Below are 23,545 nucleotides of genomic sequence, written 5' to 3'. Positions count from 1 at the left end.
TTTATTCACTGTCTAGCCTTTAAGGTCTCAAGATATTCCACGACAGAGAGTTCAGGACACCTCTTCTATAAAAGGGCTGGCCCTATATGCAATCGGGGGGCGCTGGGGTCTGGCTTAATATATGGCCCACTCTTGCTTGACAGTATTGATTAGATTAATTATTTTTTAGGGATGAGGGTAAGATATAGGGCAAGTGCATAAAGCCCCATCATTACAATAATAATAGTAGTTATTTATTGAATATTTGCCACATCGTAAGCACGTTACATACATTTTTTCTCTGTAATCCTCACAATTTGCCTGAACGATGGTTATTATTATCTTCATTTTAGAATTGAAAAAGCTTGGGCTGAGGGAAGTTAAGCAATTTGCCCAAGGCCACACTAACAAGTAGCAGATTTGAGGCTTATTCTTTTGACAATACCATGACTATGATCTCAAGAGTGGGGCATGTGCTGTTGATTGCACTCAGGACTATCTAGACTAGCATACAGCCAAACCACTTGTATTTTGGTCATTTATATGTTGTCTTTAATGTGTATTTTAAAATGTGATTAAAAATTTTGAGTGATATAATGGACTTTGGGGACTAAAGACGGGAGGTTTGGAAGCGGGGTGAGGGATAACAGACTATGTATTGGGTACAGTATACAGTGCTCCAGTGACGGGTGCACTAAAATCTCAGAATTCACCACTAGAGAATTTATCCGTGTAACCAAAAACCCCTTGTACCCTAAGGGATATTGAAGTTTTTAAAATAAATAAAATAAAATAAAGATGTCATTTGACTATCAAAAAAGAAAATAAAATGTATACTTCAAAAATAATTTGATTGTGGTGATCATTACACATTGTAAACATAAATCATCACATTGAAGATTGCAGATCTATGTATCTACACCTTGAATATATACAATTTTTATTTGCCAATTATACCTCAATAAAGCTAGAAAAAAAATGAAAGAATAGTGAGTATTTGAAACAACAACAATAATATCTTAAGGGGTTTATAGCAATAGAGTTACAAAATAGATAGAAAAAGAGTAGCAAAAAGGAAAAAGGTATTATACATTGTTATAAAATTCTTAAGCCAAAAAGCAGTAATTTAAGGTAGACTGGAATAAGCTAAGGATTCATATTGAAATCTCTAGGGTATCTATGAAAATTTGGATATTTAACTAAAAAGCTAGTAGAGGAGAAAATATTTTTTAATATATTAAAAAATAAAAATACTGATTTTCTGTTTAGGGTAACTACATGGATTTTGAAAAGTATTTAGGTCAAAAACTGTAAGTCAATCCAAATAAATAAACAGATCATGCGGAGGTATAACAAACTTCAGGAATATGGCACACAGGTGCTGGAATTTGGAAAACATTGCATTATTGTGTGGGTGTCTGGGAGTGGTGTATGCCACTAAGGAGTCCCAGATGGTGTGCAGACAACGTGAAAACCCTCAAAGGAGTAGAGAAGGAAGTGCTGAGAATGGGGTGGCATGTACTTTTGATGGATGGCATATGTGCACGTGCAAGGGGGTGGAGTGACCCCTCTGAGAAAAGACAAACCTCCTCCTGCTCCAACTTTGACATTGGCCATCTCGGGCTACAGGCTGTTTGGAAAATTTCACCTAATTTGAAAAATGCCAACACAGATTTTCCAGAAGGAAATCCTATCTGCAATCATCAAGTCTATTTGAAAGCCAGGTACTGACATCCCGCCTGCCAACCAGGACTCTGAACTACCCCAAATAAAAAGCACACCTTTCTTTCCATGAAACACCATCCAGAAAGGGCAATGCAGAGGAAAAGGAAAAATGAATGACCAAATGGAAGCAGGGTTGAGTGAAAGTTACAGTGAAAACAAAGCAGCAAAACCCCATGTGCTTGGGAGGCTGAGGAGGTTGAATCACGGGGTCAAGAGATTGAGACCAACCTGGCCAACATGGTGAAACCCCATCTCTACTAAAAATATGAAAATTAACTGGGCATGGTGTCTTGTGCCTGTAATCCCAGCTACTCGAGAGGCTGAGGCAGGAGAATCACTTGAACCCTGGAGGCGGATGTTTCAGTGAGTCCAGATCGCACCAGCGCACTCCAGCCTGAGCGACAGAGCGAGACTCCATCTCAAAAAACAAAACAAAACAAAAACCCATATGCGGCTGAGGCCATCGGAAATGGCTCTTACATGTTTTCACCATGCCTGTCAGGGCGTCGCTGAAGCCTGAGGCCTGGGAGGCAAATATCTTCACATTGTAGTCCATTCCGCTGAGGAGGTTTGTGATAAGGATGGTGTTAATGTCAGCTCCCACAAACGTTTCCAGTGTTGGACCAGGAACTAAAGAAGAAAGAGGATATATTTTAGTTACAACAAAATATGGGAAAATAGAAGCACTCTTAGATCAAATTGTATTCACTTGACTGCTTTTCAGTTGCCTGGGATTATACAGCAAGCAGACAGCAGGGTTGAGGTTTGAATCTGGTCTCATCTAGCTCTAAAAACTGCTGGGCTAAAGGTTATTTTTAGGGACCTAGTCATTTCCCTAAATATAGTTTTATCCTTGTACTTATTCAAAGAAATTGGTCCACCTCACAGTCTACCATCTGCTATATTGTTATGTACTATGTTGTAATAGGCAATTGAGGAATTAGTCCAATTAAAGAAATAATTCTCAATTGTCCCTTCTAAGGTAACCAACTTTGCTCCCAGCAGGCACACAAGCGGCAGTCATAGCAAATTTTATCATGGAGACCAGGCCATACCTTGCCACATTGTGAACCAGCATCAATGTTACCACTTTATTTTTATCTGCTCCTTTTAGGATGTTTAATACCAGACAGATTATGCTCTTATTCCAAGGCCCTTGATTAGCTAGCATTTTCAGGTCTGTATGTTTTCACCTCTTCTTCAATCTAGTGGGGTCTTTAATGAAGCATTAAAAACATTCATTGCTAAAGCCTATACAAATTTATTTACCTCCTGCTTCTTCCCATGCATGCTCATTCTTTAAGAGCTTTGAGTTAGTGACAAGTTCTCAAAATACTCATCACTTTCCTCCAGAAGCCCCCTTCCAACAATACATTTATATGTCTATCTCTGTATGTGTTACCTCAGTAGCAATTTTCCCATGCCCCACACGTACAATGCAAATGACCATACATGTATATTTCTCCCACTTGGCCTAGAACAGGATTTCTCAGCCTCACTACTATTGGTATTTTGAACTGAAAAATTATTTATTCTGGGGCAGAGGAGTACTGTCCATTGTAGCATGTTTAGGAGTGCCCATTAGATTCCAGGAGCAAGTCCTCTCTCACCAGTTGTAACAATCAAAAATGTCTCCGTTTGGGAGCAAATGACATCAACTGAGAACCGCTGGCCTAAAATAAAGCTTTTTGTGCTTAGAAAGCCTGATCAATATTTGTAAAATGATCCAAAAAACAAATTAAGCAAGGCTGTCTTACAAATTAACGCATGCTTCCGGCCTAAAGCAAACAGACAAAAACATTGGTGATGGGTCCCAGAGAATGAGCCTGGAGCAGGCTAGTGCACCCATGTTCTAGTCTTACTGTTTTATTTTCCTAGTTATAAGGATGTTTGTCTGGAGAAATTGGAGGTGGGAGTATTTGAGTCTTACGGGCCTGAAGACAATAGCACCTGGATAATGAGGCACAATAGAAAAGGCTGAAAATTGATATGGGGCGAGAACCATATCTCAGATGAAAGATTGAAACTAGGCCGGGCGCGGTGGCTCACGCTTGTAATCCCAGCACTTTGGGAGGCCGAGGCGGGTGGATCACGAGGTCAGGAGATCGAGACCACGGTGAAACCCCGTCTCTACTAAAAAAAAAAAAAAAAAATTAGCCGGGCGTGGTGGCGGGCGCCTGTAGTCCCAGCTACTCGGAGAAGCTGAGGCAGGAGAATGGCGTGAACCCGGGAGGCGGAGCTTGCAGTGAGCCGAGGCTGCGCCACTGTACTCCAGCCTGGGTGACAGAGCGAGACTCCGTCTCAAAAAAAAAAAAAAAAAAAAAAAAAAGAAAGATTGAAACTAATGGAGTTTTTGAAGGCAGAAAGTGCTTATATTTTATTTTTATTTTTTGAGACAGGGTCTTGCTTTGTTGCCCAGGCTGGAGTGCAGTGGTGTGATCACAGCTCACTGCAGCCTTGACTTATCTGGCTCAGGCAATTTTCCCACCTCAACCTCCCAGGTAGCTGGGGGTACGGTGCATGCCACCATGCCTGGCTAATTTTTGTATTTTTGTAGAGACTGGGTCACACCATGTTGCCCAGGCTGGTCTCAAACTCCTGGACTCAAGCAATCCACCCTCCTCAGCCTCCCAAAGGGCTGAGATTACAGGCATGAGCCACCACACCCAGCCAGCAGAAAATGTTTTAATGACCGTAAGAATGTTTTTAAAATTTTCCTGCCCTTTCTGCTGAACAACTAGAGTACTGCAGGCCCAGGTCTAGAAAACTGAGAAGACCTTAATAACATCAATTCTAGTCTCCTGTTTAAACTTTGTGAGATTGCTAAGAATGGGGAGATGGTACTGTAAGAGGTGCTGGGGCATACGGTCTCCTCTTCACAGGCATACAGACCAAGGGTACGATCGCTTTCTACTTGTATCATTTTCATGCCTTCAAGATATAATGATGTGGGAGGTAGAGGCGAGAGGGATCCTCTTATGGAGGTGGCTAAGAGACTGGTGGAAAAGCATTTTACTACCGTGATGAGTTTTTTTTTTCTTCCCCCTATTCCATTTCCAAACTGAGGAGACTAAGAAGTTGGTAAATGAAAATTTTCCAACTAATCCAAGAAGTAAGAGGTAGAAGAGAACTTTGAAGTTAGAGATTCCAAATGTTTAGAATTTATGTCTTTATTGAGCATAAAGCTTCCTATTCCTATAAAGTCAAGATTTCCTTAGATTGGTTCCTGGTCTAGGGTATGATTAGGTCATGTATATACCCAATATATAGTCTTCTAATTGATGTGCCCAGTAGTTTTTTATGTGATGTCATAGCTTCATCATCCTGATAATATCTACCCTATCACTGACCATACTAAAACACTTTATTTTTCCAAAACAAGTAAGAGGTTCTCCCTACTTCTTTAAAAAAATACAACCAAACATAAGGTGTTATAAGAAAACAATTTATCTTAAAAGACATTTTAAGTGACTACTCATGGTATCAACATTATTTACAAAGCATTACTTACCACTGACAGGTTTGTAGACAATTCTATAGCCTTTCACCGGGGAAGATGGGGGGTCCCACGTAATGCGCAACCGGTTATACCATTCCTCGGACACCCGCAAGTTCTGGGGCCCCGAGGATGGTACTGAGTAGAAAAGAAAAGGAAAAACAGGGATTCAGTGTAATTTCCTTCTTTATGTCCTACACTGATGCCATCAAAATATAAGACATCTTCCCACAAAATTAAAAATATTTAAAAGTGAAAGTGCACTGAAACACACAATGAGAAGCCTTTGAGAGTCTGTGGTTGTTTTCAATTTTTTTTTTTCTTTTTTGAGACAGAGTCTCACTCTGTCACCCAGGCTGGAGTGCAGTGGCACGATCTCCGCTCACTGCAACCTCCACCTCCTGGATTCAAGTAATTCTCCTGCCTCAGCCTCCCAAGTAGCTTGGACTACAGGCACGTACCACCACGTCTGGCTAATTTTTTGTATTTTTAGTAGAGATAGGGTTTCACCATGTTAGCCAAGATGGTCTTGATCTCCTGACCTTGTGATCCATTCTCCTTGGCCTCCCAAAGTGCTGGGATTACAGGCGTGAGCCACCATGCCCAGCCTTCAATATTAAATATATGGGAAATAATTGCTCTTAGAACAAAATACTTTTATCTGAAATGTAGAAGTCTTTCATTGTTATTTTGATTCCCTATTCATCAGTTAATTTTAGGTATAATTGAATTCAATCGTGTTTATTAGAAATGTCTGTCTCCATGCCACTGTGTTCCACTAAGCATATGTGAACAGCAATACTGGGGGTGTGTTCATAGAATGTTAATGGTGATTATTCTCAGAGGTAAGATTCTGATTTTATTTTTTGCTTTCATCTTCATATTTCCTATACTGTTTGAAGTTTTATATTATTGCTTATCCATTTTTATCAAAACATTACAGTCATTTATATGGAGGACTGTTGTAAATTTGTATGCATTTTGTCATTATCATTTTGTTGTTGATAAAACGTAGTTGTGTTGGCCACTCCTTAATCACTGCTTAGATCATCCACTAACACTTCAAAATAATTTTACTATATAGAGATTTTTAAGACGTAATGGCATTTCTGTAATAAGATTTAAGCCCTATTTTCATACTAATAATCTTTAAATAGTTTTTATTTAAAGATAAATACATAATAGCAAGTATTTACCTCGCTAGGTAAAATACTACTTGATGTTTTCTTTAATTGTTGCTTAAGTCTGTGATTTTGGTTTTCAAACATTTATTTAGCAGCAACATACCAACATATGCTAGAAATTCCAATGCATAGACCAAATCAAGATGCCAATATACTGGTAAAGGTGGAGTGAAAAGTTTGAAATCTCCCTATAGCTCTGCTCTTCTGTTTTCCTTCTCTCCTTCCTCATGTCCCTTGAGGAAACAACTATAGCAGCTCCAAGGACTCACAATACTCTGGGTGATTTTTAGCAAAATGTGCAGGCTTGGTGGGAGTCTGGGTGGAGGCACACGGCATAAGCACGGGAGGAGGGAGAGATGCCAGCACTGTTAAATGAGGAGATGATACCTATTTGCCCAGCTGAGCAGAATCAGGACTCTGGGCTTCAGAATTTTAATGATTTTCGCAAACTTAGTTGAAAACTCCACACTTCGGTGCCCAGGTACATAATTCAGCCCTTGACACCATTTTGAACCTAACCACATGTCACCATTTGGTAATTATGATGGATAAAGATGGTCACAGAGTTTTCAACCCTCCTTCCATTGACAGGTGGCACTATGACTGTTTATTTGGATCTGAGTGGGTTCTATGACTACCTTGACCAATAAATAGACTGCAGCAGAAGTGACACTAGCAGTTTCCATTTTATGCCTCTTGGAACTCTTGCTGTTACAGTCCTGAGCTGACATGTAAGAAATATGACTGCTCTGCTGGAAAGACCACATGGAGAAGCTCTGAGACTAAGGGAGAGAGAGAGGCACTCAGCTGGGTCCAGCCTGCTTGCCACCCCCACCAAGATGCCAGACATGTGGGTAAAGTTGTCCTGTAACATCCAGACCAGCCCAGCCCTCAAGTGAATACCACCAGGTGACACTGATCAATCCCATGTGGAGCAGACTTTCCCAGCAAGTCCTGCCTAATTTCCTGACCCAAACAATTGTGAGATATGATAAAAAAAAATGGTCACTGTTTTAAGCCATTAAGTTCTAGAGCAGTCTTTATGCAAGAATAGAAAATCATATCAATAATGAAGACAACTATGACTCTGCAGTGCTTTAACCAAGGGTTTTCATGCATCTTTCTCATTTGAGGAACATGGTCAATCCATCTTAAATAAGCGTTGCATGACGCCTCCTCTGTGCCACCCAGCACTATAGGAGCTTGGCATGCAGAGGTGAACAGTATTGATGAGGCCCCAGGCTCTCATGATACTTTGCCTTCCAGGGATGGGAGACAGAAAGTGAGCAAATACATGAATAAATAAGAAAATACCAGGGAGTAATTAGTGCCATGATATGACCAAAAACAACAAACAAAAAAGGATAATATCATAGACAGTGGGGGCTACTTTGCATGGGGTGGCCAGAAAAGGCTGAGGAGGTGACATTGAGCCTAGACCCGGATGACCAGAAAAACTCTTACATGCAAATATCTGGGAAAGCATATACCATGTAGAAGGAATCGCTAGGGCATGGGGCCTAAGGCAGGAACAACTTCAAAGAGTCCAGTGGAGAGCAGACAGGGAGGTATGAATGGGGAAATGGCCAGGAGGGGAGATCAAAGAGATCGGCAGGATCCAGGTGGTAGGTTGATCTTTGTAAGGCACGGAAGGACATAAGATTTCATCCTGGGTACAGTGAGAAGCCATTGGGAGGCCTAAAACAGAGGTGCAGATCATTTATCTGCTGAAAACCTCCTCAAGCTGCTATAAGAAGAATAGGAGATGGCATGAGTAGAAGCAGGAAGACCTGACAGGAGGCTAGTACACTCATCTGGATGAGAGAGAGAGTGGCTTGCATAAAAGGGAATGAATTAATGGCATTTGCAGCAACCTGGATGAGATTGGAGACTTATTTTAAGTGAAGTAACTCAGAAATGGAAAACCAAACATCATATGTTCTCACTTATAAGTGGGAGATAAGCTATGAAGATACAAAGCCATAAGAAGGATACAATGGACTTTGGGGACTCCAGGGGAAAGGGTGGGAAGGGGATGAGGGATAAGAGACTACCAATTGGGTTCAGTGTATACTGCTCGGGTGATGAGTGCACCAAAATATCACAAATCACCACTAAAGAATTACTCATGTAACCAAATACCACCTGTTCCCCAAAACCTATGGAAATAAAAGTAAATTAATTAAATAAAATGAAAATAAAAGAGAGAGTGTGGCTTGGACTAGAGCACACCTGTTAGATGAAGAGAGATCAGGCATGCAGAATACATTTTGATGAATCACAGGACCTTGACGAATTAAACTCTGGAAGAGAAAGATGTAGTTGTTTTTCAAGTCTTCACTTCCACAGAAAAAGAAACTGCAGCCCAGAACATTTAAGCAATTTGCTCAAAGTCACATAGCTTGTGTGTGTAAAGACAGGATGCAGACAGATTTCCTGTTCCCAAATCTTTTAGTTTCTTCACTGCAATCTACTGTATCTTTCAGGGTGCATTACAGGGGACAAGCATTTCCATTTAATGAGTCGGCTTGTATTCAAAGGGAGAAAGCTTCACTTACAGGTTTTTCCAGGAGCGGAGACGCTGACGCCTTCGCCATCCGTGTAGATGGGAGTCACTGTGACTTTGTATTCAGTATCAGGAAGCAGAGGCTTCAGAAGGAGGTTGTTCTGGCTTCCAGGCACCATAACCTGAACAAAAAAGCAAAGGACTGCAGTCTTAGTGAGACCCGTTTCCACTGATTTGGTAATGGAGCATAACTTTATGCATTTTGAAATAATCAAAAGAAAAGAGATGTGCTTTGAGAGTGAGGAGAAAAGAAAGGGCACTCATGCAAAAGCGTTTCTCCCTGAAATTCCCATCACAGTAACCCTTAGTTTATAATCACTAATACAGAAGGTTTAAATTTGACACTCTTAAGCTCTAAGGAATATTCTTCTCTCAACATCTTCTTGGCATTTGTAAAGTATCCAGAAGAGAGAATAATGGCCTGTTTAGATAGCAGGTGTTTATAGATTGGGAGAGCTCATTCTATAATCCAGCCTGCTGCTTATCATTTTTTATTTTACTTAAGTATCCTCTTGCAAAGTCAGCCTTCCATTATTTCCTCCTTCAGAGATAATCAGACCCCAGCATTTTCTTCTTTCAGTTAGAAAGGATGGATCCTAGCCAAGAGCAACAGAACCACACATCAAAGCCAAGTTTTCTTGAGCTGAAGCATATTTACCAGCAACACTAAAAAACGGTGCAGCTTTTTTATTTCTGAAAGGAGTTGTCTTCCTCAATCTAGAATCACCATCACTCTGTGTCTAAAAGGCTGTCCCCACAAAAAAGAAATGCAGCAGTGGGTTCGACATCGCGCAAGTGTGAGTGCAGGGCTCCATGTGGTGGCTTGTGAACTCTGCCACCTCGAAAAGAATCGTCTGGACCAGAAAAGCCACATGTTCTCAGTGCTAAAACCACAAAACTTTCTGTCTGTGCTCCAGGAGTGAGAAGCTGGCCCATCACCGGGCCATTTAAAGAACTTAATCATGGCTGGAAAAGTGCTAGGATGTAAGAACTGACTCAAACGGGTTTAAGGGAGTCACAAGACCAGGACAGCTGGAGTTACTTTTCGATTCAAGTGCTGGGTAAAATGCCAGCAGGCAAAGGGCGATGCTGTCTCCTTCTGGATGAAGGAAGGAACCTATAAATCATGGAATAAGCCCTAGAAAGCCTCGAGTTGAACCCAGAAGCAGCTGTTGCTAAGATATTGCTAAGCCCTTAAAAGCAGTATTTTAAATATGAAACAAGGAAATCTAAATTAGATGATTTTTATATGAGATTAATATGATTTTGCTCCTCATAGGAAAGGGCCATTGAAATGTACAGGTCTGAATTGATGTGTGGACTCGGGGTCCTGAGAAGGAGATATTTACAAAGAAGCTCTGCTTTATTCCAGAATGAGTTAGACGGCCCTAGCACTAAGAACGTGTAAGAGAAGAATTGAGGTTGCCCTGACTTGCATTACTCCACCAACATAGCTTCCCTCAGGGTGTTTCTCTTAAATGTAACCCCTCTGAAGCAGAGCCTGGGCATTCATTTCAATTTGTCCATCTAACAAACCACCCATGTTGATGTTAAATAATGTCTTCTTTCAAACTGAGAAGCCCATGGTCTTGGAACTAACCAATTAAATTTAGCACATGGAATACTAAAAAGCAGTGTGACTGTTTTAGAAGACTCATTAGCTTGCCAGGAATAGTTGCTGTGATTTATAGTAAGAGGCTTCCCTTACCTAGCAATTACTATGTGCCAGGTGCTGCTGTAAGCATTCTAATACAGCATATGCAGATTGAGTAACCCTTATCAGAAATGCTTGAGACCAGAAGTGTTTTGGATTTGAAATTTTGTTAGATTCAGGAATATTTGTAGATGTATAATGAGGTATCTTGAGGATTAGACCCAAGTCTAAACACAATATTCATTTACATTTCATATACACTTTATATACATAATCTGAAGGTAATTTTATACAATATTTTTAATAATTTTGTGCGTAAAACAAAGTTTGTGTTAATTACTTCTATGTGAAATTTTCCACTTGTAGCATCATGTCAGTGTTCAAAACGTTTTGGATTTTGGAGCATTTCAGATTTTGAATTTTATGATTAGGAATTCTCAATCTGTAATTCACTTAATCTTCACTACCACCTTTTGAAATAAGGGGTATCATCACATTCATTTTACAGATGAGAAAACTGAGGCCCATATAGATATTGAGTAAAAGAGCCATACCGAAACCCCAAGAATCTTGTCTGGGCCTTTGTCCTCTACTCCACATGACTGCACCACTTGAACCTTCTTACCCTATTGATATTCATTTTCAAGAGTAAAAAACCATCTCCTCTTGGGTATGCAAAGTTCCTCTTGCTTGGCCTCTGCTTGTTTAGACAAAGCAAAGTAAAAAAATGTGCTCCTACTAAAAACAAATGCTGCAGGTCAGAACAGATGCTGGTTTTATTTATAAAACAGTTCTGTAAAAAATGTTCATGGTTAAGTGGGATGGAAATATAACCAGTGAGCTTCATGCTTTTAATTTTTTTCAGAAATGGATTTTCATGTCTGGCTCTAATATCACCCAAAGCTTTTCAGAGCAACCTGGACCATATCCAACCAGCTGTTCCTGCAGTAGAAAGAGGATGCCCTGCATCTCGCTGTGTTCCCCTCTTATGAAGTTCAGTTCTAGGCAGTGATTCTCAAACTCTTTGTGGTGAAGGACTAGTTGCTATTGTTGGTGGTGGTGGTGTCATTTTAATTCCCATCCATTGCAGACCAATTTATTTGTAAAATACGATAAAACCAAGTGGTTAGAAAAGTGATCATGTTCTCAGGTTGTTGCAGTAATGTCAAATGGCTATCAATGTTTCTAAAATGTTAATCTTAATATCTGAAACTATCATGCAGTCATGTAGGAGACTGAGTCACACTTTGAGTATTCTTACTCTAGACGTATTCTTGCAACCCAGAATTCATGTTAGAGCTACAGATTTTTACACTGAGGCTCTAGAAAATTCTGAAATCCTGACTAGCCTTTTAAAATAAATGAGAGACCTTCCTACCCTGACAACAAAATGTATGGCAATGTCATTGCCACTCCTCCATATTCCAAGACAGAGTTGAAAGTCAATCCTTACAAAATATTTGACAGGTACTATAGTTTTATTTCTAAGAATTCAAAGGGTTTTTTTTAACCTAGAAGTATTTGATAGATGTAATTATATCTAGAAAGTATAGAAACATTTCATTTACCTCAACTGGAAACGTAAATTAAATTCCCCTTGTTTTACATATGTTTAAGCTGAAATTTGGTCTACAATGTTATAGTACACAGTGTATAACATATACATACACTATTGTCCAACTTCAGTACACAAGCTTATCATTTCTTTGTGTAAATTTAATCAGCCTTGAGAGTTAAGGAAGGTCTGGTATTCCTCTTATCTTGACACATTTCCTTTCTTGCTTTCATAGTATGTCTTAGCCATCTGTCTTTCTGCGCCATACATTATTATTTTAAGATGTCATTTGGTCCATGTGATTTCAAGACCCTCAGACTTTAATAGAGATGTGCATCTGCCTGTCCACCTTAGTTTCATAATCTAAATTTACATGCAGTCCACTTTCTGTCTCCAGTCATAACACATTACATTTGTATCACAGTAACACTTCATAAAACACTGATACAAATTTTCAAAGAACCCTCAGGTGAGTCCCTGAGAGGGCACCTGTAAATCAAGTGTGTACATATCTTATTTAATTAAAATCCTCTAAAGGAGCTTGATACTTAAAGAATTCTACAGTAGGTTCTTCTGTAAGGCAAAAGAGAGAGAGAGAAAAAAAAAAACAGTTTTGCAAAGCAAATAAGCACCACCAAATTTATCAATATTTTTCGTTTTTACTACAGGTTTGTTTAACTGGGTCAGAGTGTTTAAGACTTTTGATCTTTTTTTCCCTTCATCTAGGTGTCCAACTATGTCAAAAATAAACAGTGTGAAACGAAAGAAACTAGAAAAGGAAAAATTATCTAGAGACAACCCAAAGTAAATATTATTATTATTTTACCTTGCATAGCTTACAAGTGCATGCATGATATTAAATTTTTATTCTTTCCAAATTAACAGGAATAATTCACTAAGAAGCTTAATGTATTTCTCAGAAAAAGTAAAAAACAAAAAGCAAACAAACAAAAAAAAAACAAAAAACAGAAACAAAACAAAACAAAGCCTCTCACCTTGGGAAGTTTCCACGGGTCTCATTTTTAGGAACTCAATTACAATATGAGAAAAATAACACAGAAAAAAAAATCACAACTTATATATTTAATTACCATTCCTAACCATAATTTTATTTTATTTTTTGAATTTGCCAATCATGAACCATTTGAAGTGTATGGTCTGAGTGAATTTGTAATTCAATCTATTTTGTTTAAGAATCCATTAACTTTTCAAAAGTACTCCCAGATCAGTGTAATGGCCTTCTGGCTATTCACAGTAGGTGTGGCTCTTCTTGGGTCTGTCACTGTGTCCTGTAATATTTCCTCCATCAGCCAGAAATGAAGTACTTTCCTTAAAGGATTCTGGGGTCAAATAGTTGTTTATGTAAGCACATAAATAAAAGTAACTTCCCATTGAAGGCTTTTTGAGTGAGGAAGGCAAAGGAATGATAATGTTATACTTGAGCAATAATAAATTTTGTAGACTTCTTTCCCAGAGTGTCAGAAATAATGCAGCAGAGGGCAAGAAATGCAAGTAATGAGCTAAATAAACATATTTTATGACTCAAAAGAAAAATTCTTCTGGATGCATACTGGAGTTACCTGGTTTGATTAGAAACATGTCTAAGAAAGAATTTTCAGGTTCTAGACTGAAAGGAATGATATAGTGTAAATTTAGAATACATGGGAAGGCCATGATTAAAAGTGTACCAGGCCACAATTAAGAGTGTATCATTGATTTTGGTGCCTGGGCAAGATGGCCAAATAGGAACAGCTCTGGTCTGCAGCTCCCAGTGAGACCAATGCAGAAGGCGGGTGATTTCTGTATTTCCAACTGAGGTACCGGGTTCATCTCATTGGGACTGGTTAGACAGTGGGTGCAGCCCATGGAGGGTGAGCATAAGCAGGGTGGGACGTCGCCTCATCCAGGAAGCACAAAGAGTTGGGGAACTCCCTCCCCTAGCCAAGGGAAGCCATGAGGGACCACGCCATGAGGGACAGAGCTATCCAGCCCAGATACTATGCTTTTCCCACGGTCTTTGCAACCCACAGACCAGGAGATTCCCTTGGGTGCCTATACCACCAGGGCCCTGGGTTTCAAGCACAAAGCTGGGTGGCCATCTGGGCAAACACCGAGCTAGCTGCAAGAGTTTATTTTCATACCCCATGATGCCTGGAATGCCAGCGAGACAGAACCATTCACTCCCCTGGAAAGGGGGCTGAAGCCAGGGATCCCAGTGGTCTTGCTCAGCAGATCCAACCCCCACGGAGCCCAACAAGCTAAGATCCACTGTCTTGAAATTCTCGCTGCCAGCACAGCAATGTGAAGTCAACCTGGGATGCTCGAGCTTGGTGGGGGGAGGGGTGTCCGCCATTAGTAAGGCTTGAGTAGACAGTTTTCCCCTCACAGTGTAAACAAAGCTGCCTGGAAGTTTGGACTGGGCAGAGCCTACCGCAGCACCACAAAACCACTGTAGCCAGACTGCCTCTCTAGATTCCTCCTCTCTGGGCAGGGCATCTCTAAAAGAAAGGCAGCAGCCCCAGTCAGGGGTTTCTAGATAAAACTCTCATCTCCCTGTGACAGAGCACCTGGGGGAAGGGGTGGCTGTGGGCGCAGCTTCAGCAGACTTAAACATTCCTGCCTGCTGGCTCTGAAAAGAGCAGAGGACCTCCCAGCACAGCGCTCGAACTCTGCTAAGGGACAGACAGTCTCCTCAAATGGGTCCCTGACCCCCGTGCCTCCTGATGGGGAGACACCAGGAGTCGACAGACACTTCATACAGGAGAGCTCCAGCTGGCATCTGGCAGGTGCCCCTCTGGGATGAAGCTTCCAGAGGAAGGAGCAGGCAGCAATCTTTGCTTTTCTGCAGCCTCTGCTGATGATACCCAGGCACACAGGGTCTGGAATGGCCCTCCACCAAACTCCAACAGACCTGCAGCAGAGGGGCCTGACTGTTAGAAGGAAAACTAAAAAACAGGAAGCAATAGCATCAACATCAACAAAAAGGACGACCACTCAAACCCCATCCAAAGGTCACCAACATCAAAGACCAAAGGTAGACAAATCCAGAAAGATGAGAAAAAAACCAACATAAAAAGGCTGAAAGTTTCAAAAACCAGAATGCCCCTTCTCCTCCAAAGGATCGCAACTCCTCGCCAGCAAGAGAACAAAACTGGAAGGAGAATGAGTTTAATGAATTGACAGAAGTAGGCTCCAGAAGGTAAGCAGTAACAAGCTCCTCCGAGCTAAAGGAGCATATTCTAACCCAATGCAAGGAAGCTAAGAACCTTGATAAAAGCTTACAGGAACTGCTAACTAGAATAATCAGTTTAGAGAAGAATATAAATGACCTGATGGAGCTGAAAAACACAGCGTAAGAACTTTGTGAAGCATACACAGGTATCAATAGCCAAATTGATCAAGTGAAAGAAAGGATATCAGAGATTGAAGATCAACTTAAGGAAATAAAGCATGAAGACAAGATTAGAGAAAAAATAATGAAAAGGAATGAACAAAGCCTCCAAGAAATATGGGACAATGTGAAAAGACCAAATCTGCGTTTGATTGGTATACCTGAAAGTGACAGGGAGAATGGAACGAAGTTGGAAAACACACTTCAGGATATTATCCAGGAGAACTTCCCCAACCTAGCAAGACAGGCCAACATTCAAATTCAGGAAATACAGACAACATCACAAAGATACTCCTCAAGAAGAGCAACCCCAATCATCAGATTCACCAAGGTTGAAATGAAGGAAAAAATGTTAAGGGCAGCCAGAGCGAAAGGTTGGGCTACCCACAAAGGGAAGCCCATCGGTCTAACAGCGGATCTCTCTGCAGAAACTCTACAAGCCAGAAGAGCGTGGGGGCCAACATTCAACATTCTTAAAGAAAAGAATTTTCAACCCAGAATTTCATATCCAGCCAAACTAAGCTTCATAAGTGAAGGAGAAATAAAATCCTTTACAGACAAGCAAATGCTGAGGGATTTTTTCACCCCCAGGCCTGCCTTACAAGAGCTCCTGGAGGAAGTAACAAATATGGAAAGTAAAAACCGGTACCAGCCACTGCAAAAACATACCAAATTGCAAAGACCATTGACATTACGAAGAAACTGCATCAACTAATGGGCTAAATAACCAGCTAGCATCATAATGACGGGATCGAATTCACACATAACAATATTAACCTTAAATGTAAATGGGCTAAATGCCCCAATTAAAAGACACAGACTGGCAAATTGGTTAAAAGTCAAGACCCACTGGTGTGCTGTATTCAGGAGACCCATCTCACGTGCAAAGACACACATAGACTCAAAATAAAGGGATGGAGGAATATTTACCAAGCAAATGGAAAGCAAAAAAAAAAAGCAGGGGTTGCAATCCTAGTCTCTGATAAAACAGATTTTAAGCCAACAAAGATCAAAAAAGACAAAGAAGGGCATTACATAATGGTAAAGGGATCAATGCAACAAGAGGAGCTAACTATCCTAAATATATATGCACCCAACACAGGAGCACCCAGATTCATAAAGCAAATTCTTAGAAACCTACAAAGAGACTTAGACTCCCACACAATAATAGTAGGAAACTTTAACACCCCACTGTCAATATTAGACAGATAAATGAGACAGAAAATTACCAAGGATATCCAGGACTTGAACTCAGCTCTGGACCAAGAGGACCTAATAGACATCTACAGAACTCTCCACTCCAAACCAACAGAATATACATTCTTCTTAGCACCACATCACACTTATTCTAAAATTCACCACACAATTGGAAGTAAAACACTCCTCAGCAAATGTAAAAGAATGCAAATCATAACAAACAGTCTCAGGCCACAGTGCAATCAAATTAGAACTCAGGATTAAGAAACTCACTCAAAACTGCACAACTACATGGAAACTGAACAACCTGCTCCTGAATGACTACTGGGTACATAACAAAATCAAGGCAGAAATAAATATGTTCTTTGGAACCAATGAGAACAAAGACACAATGTACCAGAATCTCTGGAACACAGCTAAAGCAGTGTTTAGAGGGAAACTTACAGCACTAAATGCCCACAGGAGAAAGCTGGAAAGATCCAAAATCGACATCCTAACATCACAGTTTAAAGAACTAGAGAACCAAGAGCAAACAAATTCAAAAGCTAGCAGAAGACAAGAAATAACTAAGATCAGAGCAGAACTGAAGGAGATAGAGACACGAAAAGCCCTTCAAAAAATCAGTGAATCCAGGAGCTTGTTTTTTGAAAAGATTAAAAAAATAAATAGACCACTAGCCAGACTAATAAAGAAGAAAAGAGAGAAGAATCAAGTAGACACAATAAAAAATGGTAAAGGGGGCAGGGGTGGTGCATGCCTGTAATCCCAGCACTTTGGGAGGCCAAGGCAGGCAGATAACAGGGTCAGGAGTTTGAGACCAGCCTGGCCAACATGGTGAAAACCCATCTCTACTAAAAAAAACAAAAATTAGCCGGGCATGGTGGGAGGTGCCTGTAGTCCCAGCAACTCGGAAGGCTGAGGCAGGAGAATCGCTGGAACCCAGGAGGAGGAGGTTGCAGTGAACCAAGATTGCACCACTACTCTCCCAGCCTGGGCAACAGAGTGAGACTCCATCTCAACAAAAAATAAAAATGATAAAGGGGATATCACTATTGATCCCACAGAAATACAAACTACCATCAGAGAATACTATAAACACCACTATGCAAATAAACTAGAAAATCTAGAAGAAATGGATAAATTCCTGGACACATACACCCTCCCAAGACTAAACCAGGAAGAAGTCGAATTCCTGAAAAGACCAATAACAAGTTCTGAAATTGAGGCAGTAATTAATAGCCTACCAACCAAAAAAAGCCCAGGACCAGAAGGATTCACAGCCAATTTCTGACAAAGGTAAAAAGAGGAGCTGGTACCATTCCTTCTAAAACTATTCGAAGCAATAGAAAAAGAGGGACTCCTCCTTAAGTCTTTTTATTAGGTCAGCATCATGCTGACACCAAAACCTGGCAGAGACACAACAAAAAAAGAACATTTCAGGCCAATACCCTGGATGAACATTGATGCGAAAATCCTCAATAAAATACTGGCAAACCGAATTCAGCAACACATTAAAAAGCTTATCCACCACAATCAAGGCGGCTTCATCCCTGGGATGCAAGGCTGGTTCAACATTCGCAAATCAATAAATATAATACATCACATAAACAGAATCAATGACAAAAACCACATGATTATCTCAATAGATGCAGAAAAGGCCTTCAATAAAATTCAACACCCCTTCATGCTAAAAACTCTTAATAAACTAGGTATTGATGGAATGTATCTCAAAATAAAAAGAGCTATTTATGACAAACCCACAGTCAATATCATACTGAATGGGCAAAAGCTGGAAGCATTCCCTTTGAAAATCGGCACAAGACAAGGATGCCCTATCTCACCACTCCTATTCAACATAGTATTCGAGGTTCTGGCCAGGGCAATCAGGCAAGAGAAAGTGATAAAGGGTATTCAAATAGGAAGAGAGAAAGTCAAATTGTCTCTGTTTGCAGATGACATGATTGCATATTTAGAAAACCCCATCATCTCAGCCCCAGATCTCCCTAAGCTGATATGCAACTTCAGCAAAGTCTCAGGATACAAAATCAATTGCAAAAATCACAAGGATTTCCATACACCAATAATAGACAGAGAGCCAAATCATGAGCGAACTCCTATTCACAATTGCTACAAAGGGAATAAAATACCTAGGAATCCAACTTACAAAGGATGTGAAGGACCTCTTCAAGGAGAACTCAAACCACTGCTCAAGGAAATAAGAGAGGACACAAACAAATGGAAAAATATTTCATGCTCATGGATAGCTAGAATCAATATCATAAAAATGGCCATATTGCCCAAAGTAATTTGTAGATTCAATGTTATTCCCATCAAGCTACCATTGACTTTTTTCGCAGAATTAGAAAAAACTACTTTAAATTTCACATGGAACCAAAAAAGAGTCCATATAGCCAAGACAATCCTAAGCAAAAAGAACAAAGCTGGAGGCATTACACTACCTGACTTAAAACTATAGTCCAAGGCCACAGTAACCAAAACAGCTTGGTATTGGTACCAAAACAGATATATAAACCAATGGAACAGAACAGAGACCTCAGAAATGACACCACACATCTGCAACCATCTATCTGTGACAAACCTGGAAAAAAACAAGCAATGGGGAGGGGATTCCCTATTTAATAAATGGTGTTGGGAAACCTGGCTAGGCATAGGCAGAAAACTGAAATTGGACCCCTTTCTTACACCTTATACAAAAATGAATCTTAGACAAAAAAAGAAACAGGCAACCAAACACCGCATGTTTCAAAAATGAAAAGATGGATTAAAGATTTAAACATAAGACATAAAACCATAAAAATCCTGGAAGAAAACCTAGGCAATACCATTCAGGACACAGGCATGGGCAAAGACTTCATGACTAAAACACCAAAAGCAATGGCAACAAAAGCCAAAATAGACAAATGGGATCTAATTAAACTAAAGAGCTTCTGCACAGCTAAAGAAACTATCATCAGAGTGAACAGGCAACCTACAGAATGGGAGAAAATTTTTGCAATCTACTCATCTGACAAATGGCTAATATCCAGAACCTACAAGGAACTTAAACCAATTTACAAGAAAAAAACAAACAACTCCATCAAAAAGTGGGAGAAGGATATTAACAGTCACTTTCTCAAAAGAATACATTTATGCAGCCAACAAACATATGAAAAAAAGCTCATCATCGTTGGTCATTAGAAAAACTCAAATCAAAACCACAATGAGATATCATCTCATGCCAGTTAGAACGGCAATCATTAAAAAGTCAGGAAACAACAGATGCTAGAGAGGATGTGGAGAAATAGGAACACTTTTACACTGTTGGTGAGACTGTAAATTAGCTCAACCATTGTGGAAGGCAGTGTAGCGATTCCTCAAAGACCTAGAACTAGAAATACCATTTGACCCAGCAATCCCATTACTGGGTGTATACCCAAAGCATTATAAATCATTCTACTATAACAATACATCCACACATGTTTATTGCAGCACTACTCACAATAGCAAAGACTTGGAACCAGCCCAAATGCCCATCAATGATAGACTGGATAAAGAAAATGTGGCACATATACACCATGGAATACTATGCAGCCATAAAAAAGGATGAGTTCATGTCCTTTGCAGGGACATGGATGAAGCTGGAAACCATCATTCTCTGCAAACTAACACAGGAACAGGCAACCAAACACTACATGTTCTCACTCATAAGTGGGAGTTGAACAATGAGAACACATGGACACAGGGAGGGGAACATTACACACTGGGTCCTGTTGGGGTTGTGGGGCAAGGGGAGGGATAGCATTAGGAGAAATACTTAATGTAGATGACGGGTTGATGGGTGCAGCAAACTACCATGGTCCATGTATACCTATGTAAAAAACCTGCATGTTCTGCACATGTATCCCAGAACTTAAGTATATTAAAAAAAGATAAATAAATTAGAAAAAAAGAGTGTATCATTTAGAAAAAGGAAAGATAGATAAAACAACTCAAAGAAAACTCAATGTATAAAAATCTAAATCCCTGAGGGGATACATCCATGTTACGAATAATTAGAAATGACTATAAATCTACTCAATACGAGTTGATGTCAATGAAAAATATAACTATTGGTTAACGGATGGTATTTTATTAAGAATATTTTCACTATACCATATAGAAGACCTTTTCTGTGTCCTTTGCTTAAAAGTTTTTTTATCAGATTTCCAAGGGCAGAAGAAATTATTTTCTATATTAAACTTTTATACATGTCTATACATACATATATACAGACACAAGTGCATATGGCCTTTTATGACCCAACTTTGGTGCTCGAACAGGTGCAAGGCAGCAGAAGAGAAGCAATATTTGAAACAATGTTCAGAGGTTATTAACTTGGAGCAAGTTGTACATGGAGCAAGTTTTGGATTTATAAAGGTCACTAAGAAGCCAGTAGTGGAGTCAGATTAACAGAGAACATTAGTTTCTGGAGATGGCAGAGTCACTGAGAAAAGAGCAGTAAAGTTTGCATTGATCTCCGAAGACAGTCTTATTAGCTGTGTTAGTAACATCTGCAGAGTTTCTAGTCAGTTGAATTTATACAGACCGTTCCTATGACTTCTTCCTCAGGGTCCCCTTGAGCTGTCATGTAGGTCACCCTAAACTGCTGCACATCGCTGTCAGAAATGTCCCATTTTACCCGCAGGCTAGAAGTAGTTTCATCACCTACAACTAGGTTTCTGATTCCCGTCTGGAAAACTGGAATAAACACAACCAAGGATTAAAAAACTTTTAACATATCATATTCCAAAATGAGCCACAGAGAATACCTGTGGGGTGACAGCAAGCATCATTTAATGTATCCCTGTAATATAGTTGTATATGAGGCAAGAAGGGCTCAGCTATGGTGCTTAATGGGGAGGCATGATACCTACTAGCAGCAAATAAAAGTGGAATTAAGAGATGCTTACAAGATGAGACCATGGAGCCCTCAAAACTGTCAGTTCTGTATGTGCACTAGTAAAGAGAACTGGGAAGAAGCCCTGAGACTAGAAAAACAGCCCATGGAACCCAAAGGAAAGAGTGGTCATGAGAACCTCACACTAGTGCTCTGTGGACAAGTGGGCACAGTGGGCCAGACTTTGTCCACCTCTGTGTGCAATCCAGCATCCAACACACATCCCAATCACCTGCCCTCACCTCCATTTCTCTTTTAACACCTGTCATTCAAAGCACAAATCTGCGCTCAGGCTGCCTTTATCCATTCAGCCCACACAGACACGATCTTTTCTCTGGTACTTGTCCAAACTCCTTTACCTGTGTTTCCTGGCACATTCGTGCTCATCTCTCAAGGTGCCTGCTCCCTTATTTGTTGCATTTTTTTCTTTTCTCTTCTACCCTAACTTCATTTCCCTTTGTCCATCTTTTCTCATTCTCCTTTCTCTTCATTCATCTATTAATTCATTTAGAAAATATTCATTGAACTTTTTCTGTGTGTCAGACTGTTAGGGCTTTGGTTTTTATATAGTTATTAACTCAACAAAAATAGTAAAAGTGTCACAGAGGAGGAGGGGGTTGACATTTACCTGGCAACATTGCAGGGGGGCTACCAGGCAATGGGAATGGGAGGGAACTTCTCACATTTAGGGAAAGGAGTTCGGGATTGCAAGAGAAAAACGGGGGAAGCATAGGAAATATGGTTGAGGCCAGGAAGGGAAGCAGGACCCAACTAGGAAGGATCTTGGATGCTGTGAAAAAGACTTTAAAGCACAAAGAAGGCTTGATAAGGATTAAATGAAGAATGAACAAATCAACAAATGGGTAATGGAGAGCCATTGAAGTGTCTTAGAGAAGTAAATAAATGATATTATCAAACTTGTGTTTTACCAAGTTGACTCTGACAGCTAGTTGGGAGGTGTATTACAGTGAAGGGGAAAGCTAAGCTGAGAGAGGAAACAACTAATGTAGGAAAAACAATAGACCAGCCAAGTGTCAGTTACCCACAGAAATGCAAGGAAAACATGGTAAGAATAATTCTCAACAAGGCCAGGCATGGTGGCTCATGCCTGCAATTCCAGAACTTTGGGAGGCCAAGGATGAAGGAACATTTGAGCTCAGGAGTTAAAGACCAGCCTGGGTAATATGGAAAGACCTCATCTCTACTAAAATTCAAAACGATTAGCCAGGCACGATGACACATGTCTGTAGTCCCAGCTACGTGGGGGGCTGAGGCTGGAGGATCACATGAGCCCAGGAAGTCAAGGCTGTGGTGAGCCTTGATCGTGGTGCTGCACTCCAGCCTGGATGACAGAATGAAACCCTGTCTCTAAAAGAAAAAAAGAGAAAAGAAGGGGAATTCTCAACAGAGAGCAACAGAAGTGCAAATCAAAACCACAATGAGATACCATCTCACACCAGTTAGAATGGCAATCATTAAAAAGTCAGGAAACAACAGGTGCTGGAGAGGATGTGGAGAAATAGGAACACTTTTACACTGTTGGTGGGACTGTAAACTAGTTCAATCATTGTGGAAGACAGTGTGGCGATTCCTCAGGGATCTAGAACTAGCAATACCATTTGACCCAGCCATCCCATTACTGGGTATATACCCAAAGGACTATAAATCATGCTGCTATAAAGACACGTGCACATGTATGTTTATTGTGGCACTATTCACGATAGCAAAGACTTGGAACCAACCCAAATGTCCAACAATGATAGACTGGATTAAGAAAATGTGGCATATATACACCATGGAATACTATGCAGCCATAAAACATGATGAGTTCATGTCCTTTGTAGGGACATGGATGAAATTGG

The 23,545-nt window shown here is 40.2% G+C and overlaps 1 protein-coding gene across 13 annotated transcripts in view, besides 1 other annotated feature; it reads right to left on the bottom strand.

Annotated features, from left to right (window-relative positions):
• COL14A1 (collagen type XIV alpha 1 chain) overlaps positions 1-23,545 on the bottom strand; it is a 249,120-nt gene that overhangs the window by 120,623 nt on the left and 104,952 nt on the right. For 11 of the 13 annotated variants that reach the window (NM_001413490.1, NM_001413491.1, NM_001413493.1 and 8 more), the window contains 4 exons: positions 21,333-21,484; positions 8,943-9,072; positions 5,216-5,338; positions 2,185-2,334 (listed from right to left, as the gene is read on the bottom strand). In NM_001413490.1, the coding sequence (NP_001400419.1) occupies positions 2,185-2,334; positions 5,216-5,338; positions 8,943-9,072; positions 21,333-21,484 (555 nt within the window). Of the gene's footprint in view, positions 1-2,184; positions 2,335-5,215; positions 5,339-8,942; positions 9,073-9,608; positions 9,771-21,332; positions 21,485-23,545 lie in introns of those variants that run through there. The other 2 variants (NM_001413499.1, NM_001413500.1) reach the window with 1 other exon arrangement.
• Positions 13,746-14,245: an enhancer, noted in NCBI's record as "H3K27ac hESC enhancer chr8:121250945-121251444 (GRCh37/hg19 assembly coordinates)". NCBI's record gives its function as "activates a minimal SCP1, AML or CMV promoter by ChIP-STARR-seq in primed H9 embryonic stem cells {active_cell/tissue: H9 hESC(primed)}" and the evidence as "EXISTENCE:reporter gene assay evidence [ECO:0000049][PMID:30033119]".

The sequence above is a fragment of the Homo sapiens genome, chromosome 8 (genome assembly GCF_000001405.40).
Source record: "Homo sapiens chromosome 8, GRCh38.p14 Primary Assembly".
Classification (NCBI taxonomy): domain Eukaryota; kingdom Metazoa; phylum Chordata; class Mammalia; order Primates; family Hominidae; genus Homo; species Homo sapiens.
The sequence above is the reverse complement of the archived record's forward strand: the minus strand, read 5'-3'. Positions and strand labels throughout refer to the sequence as shown.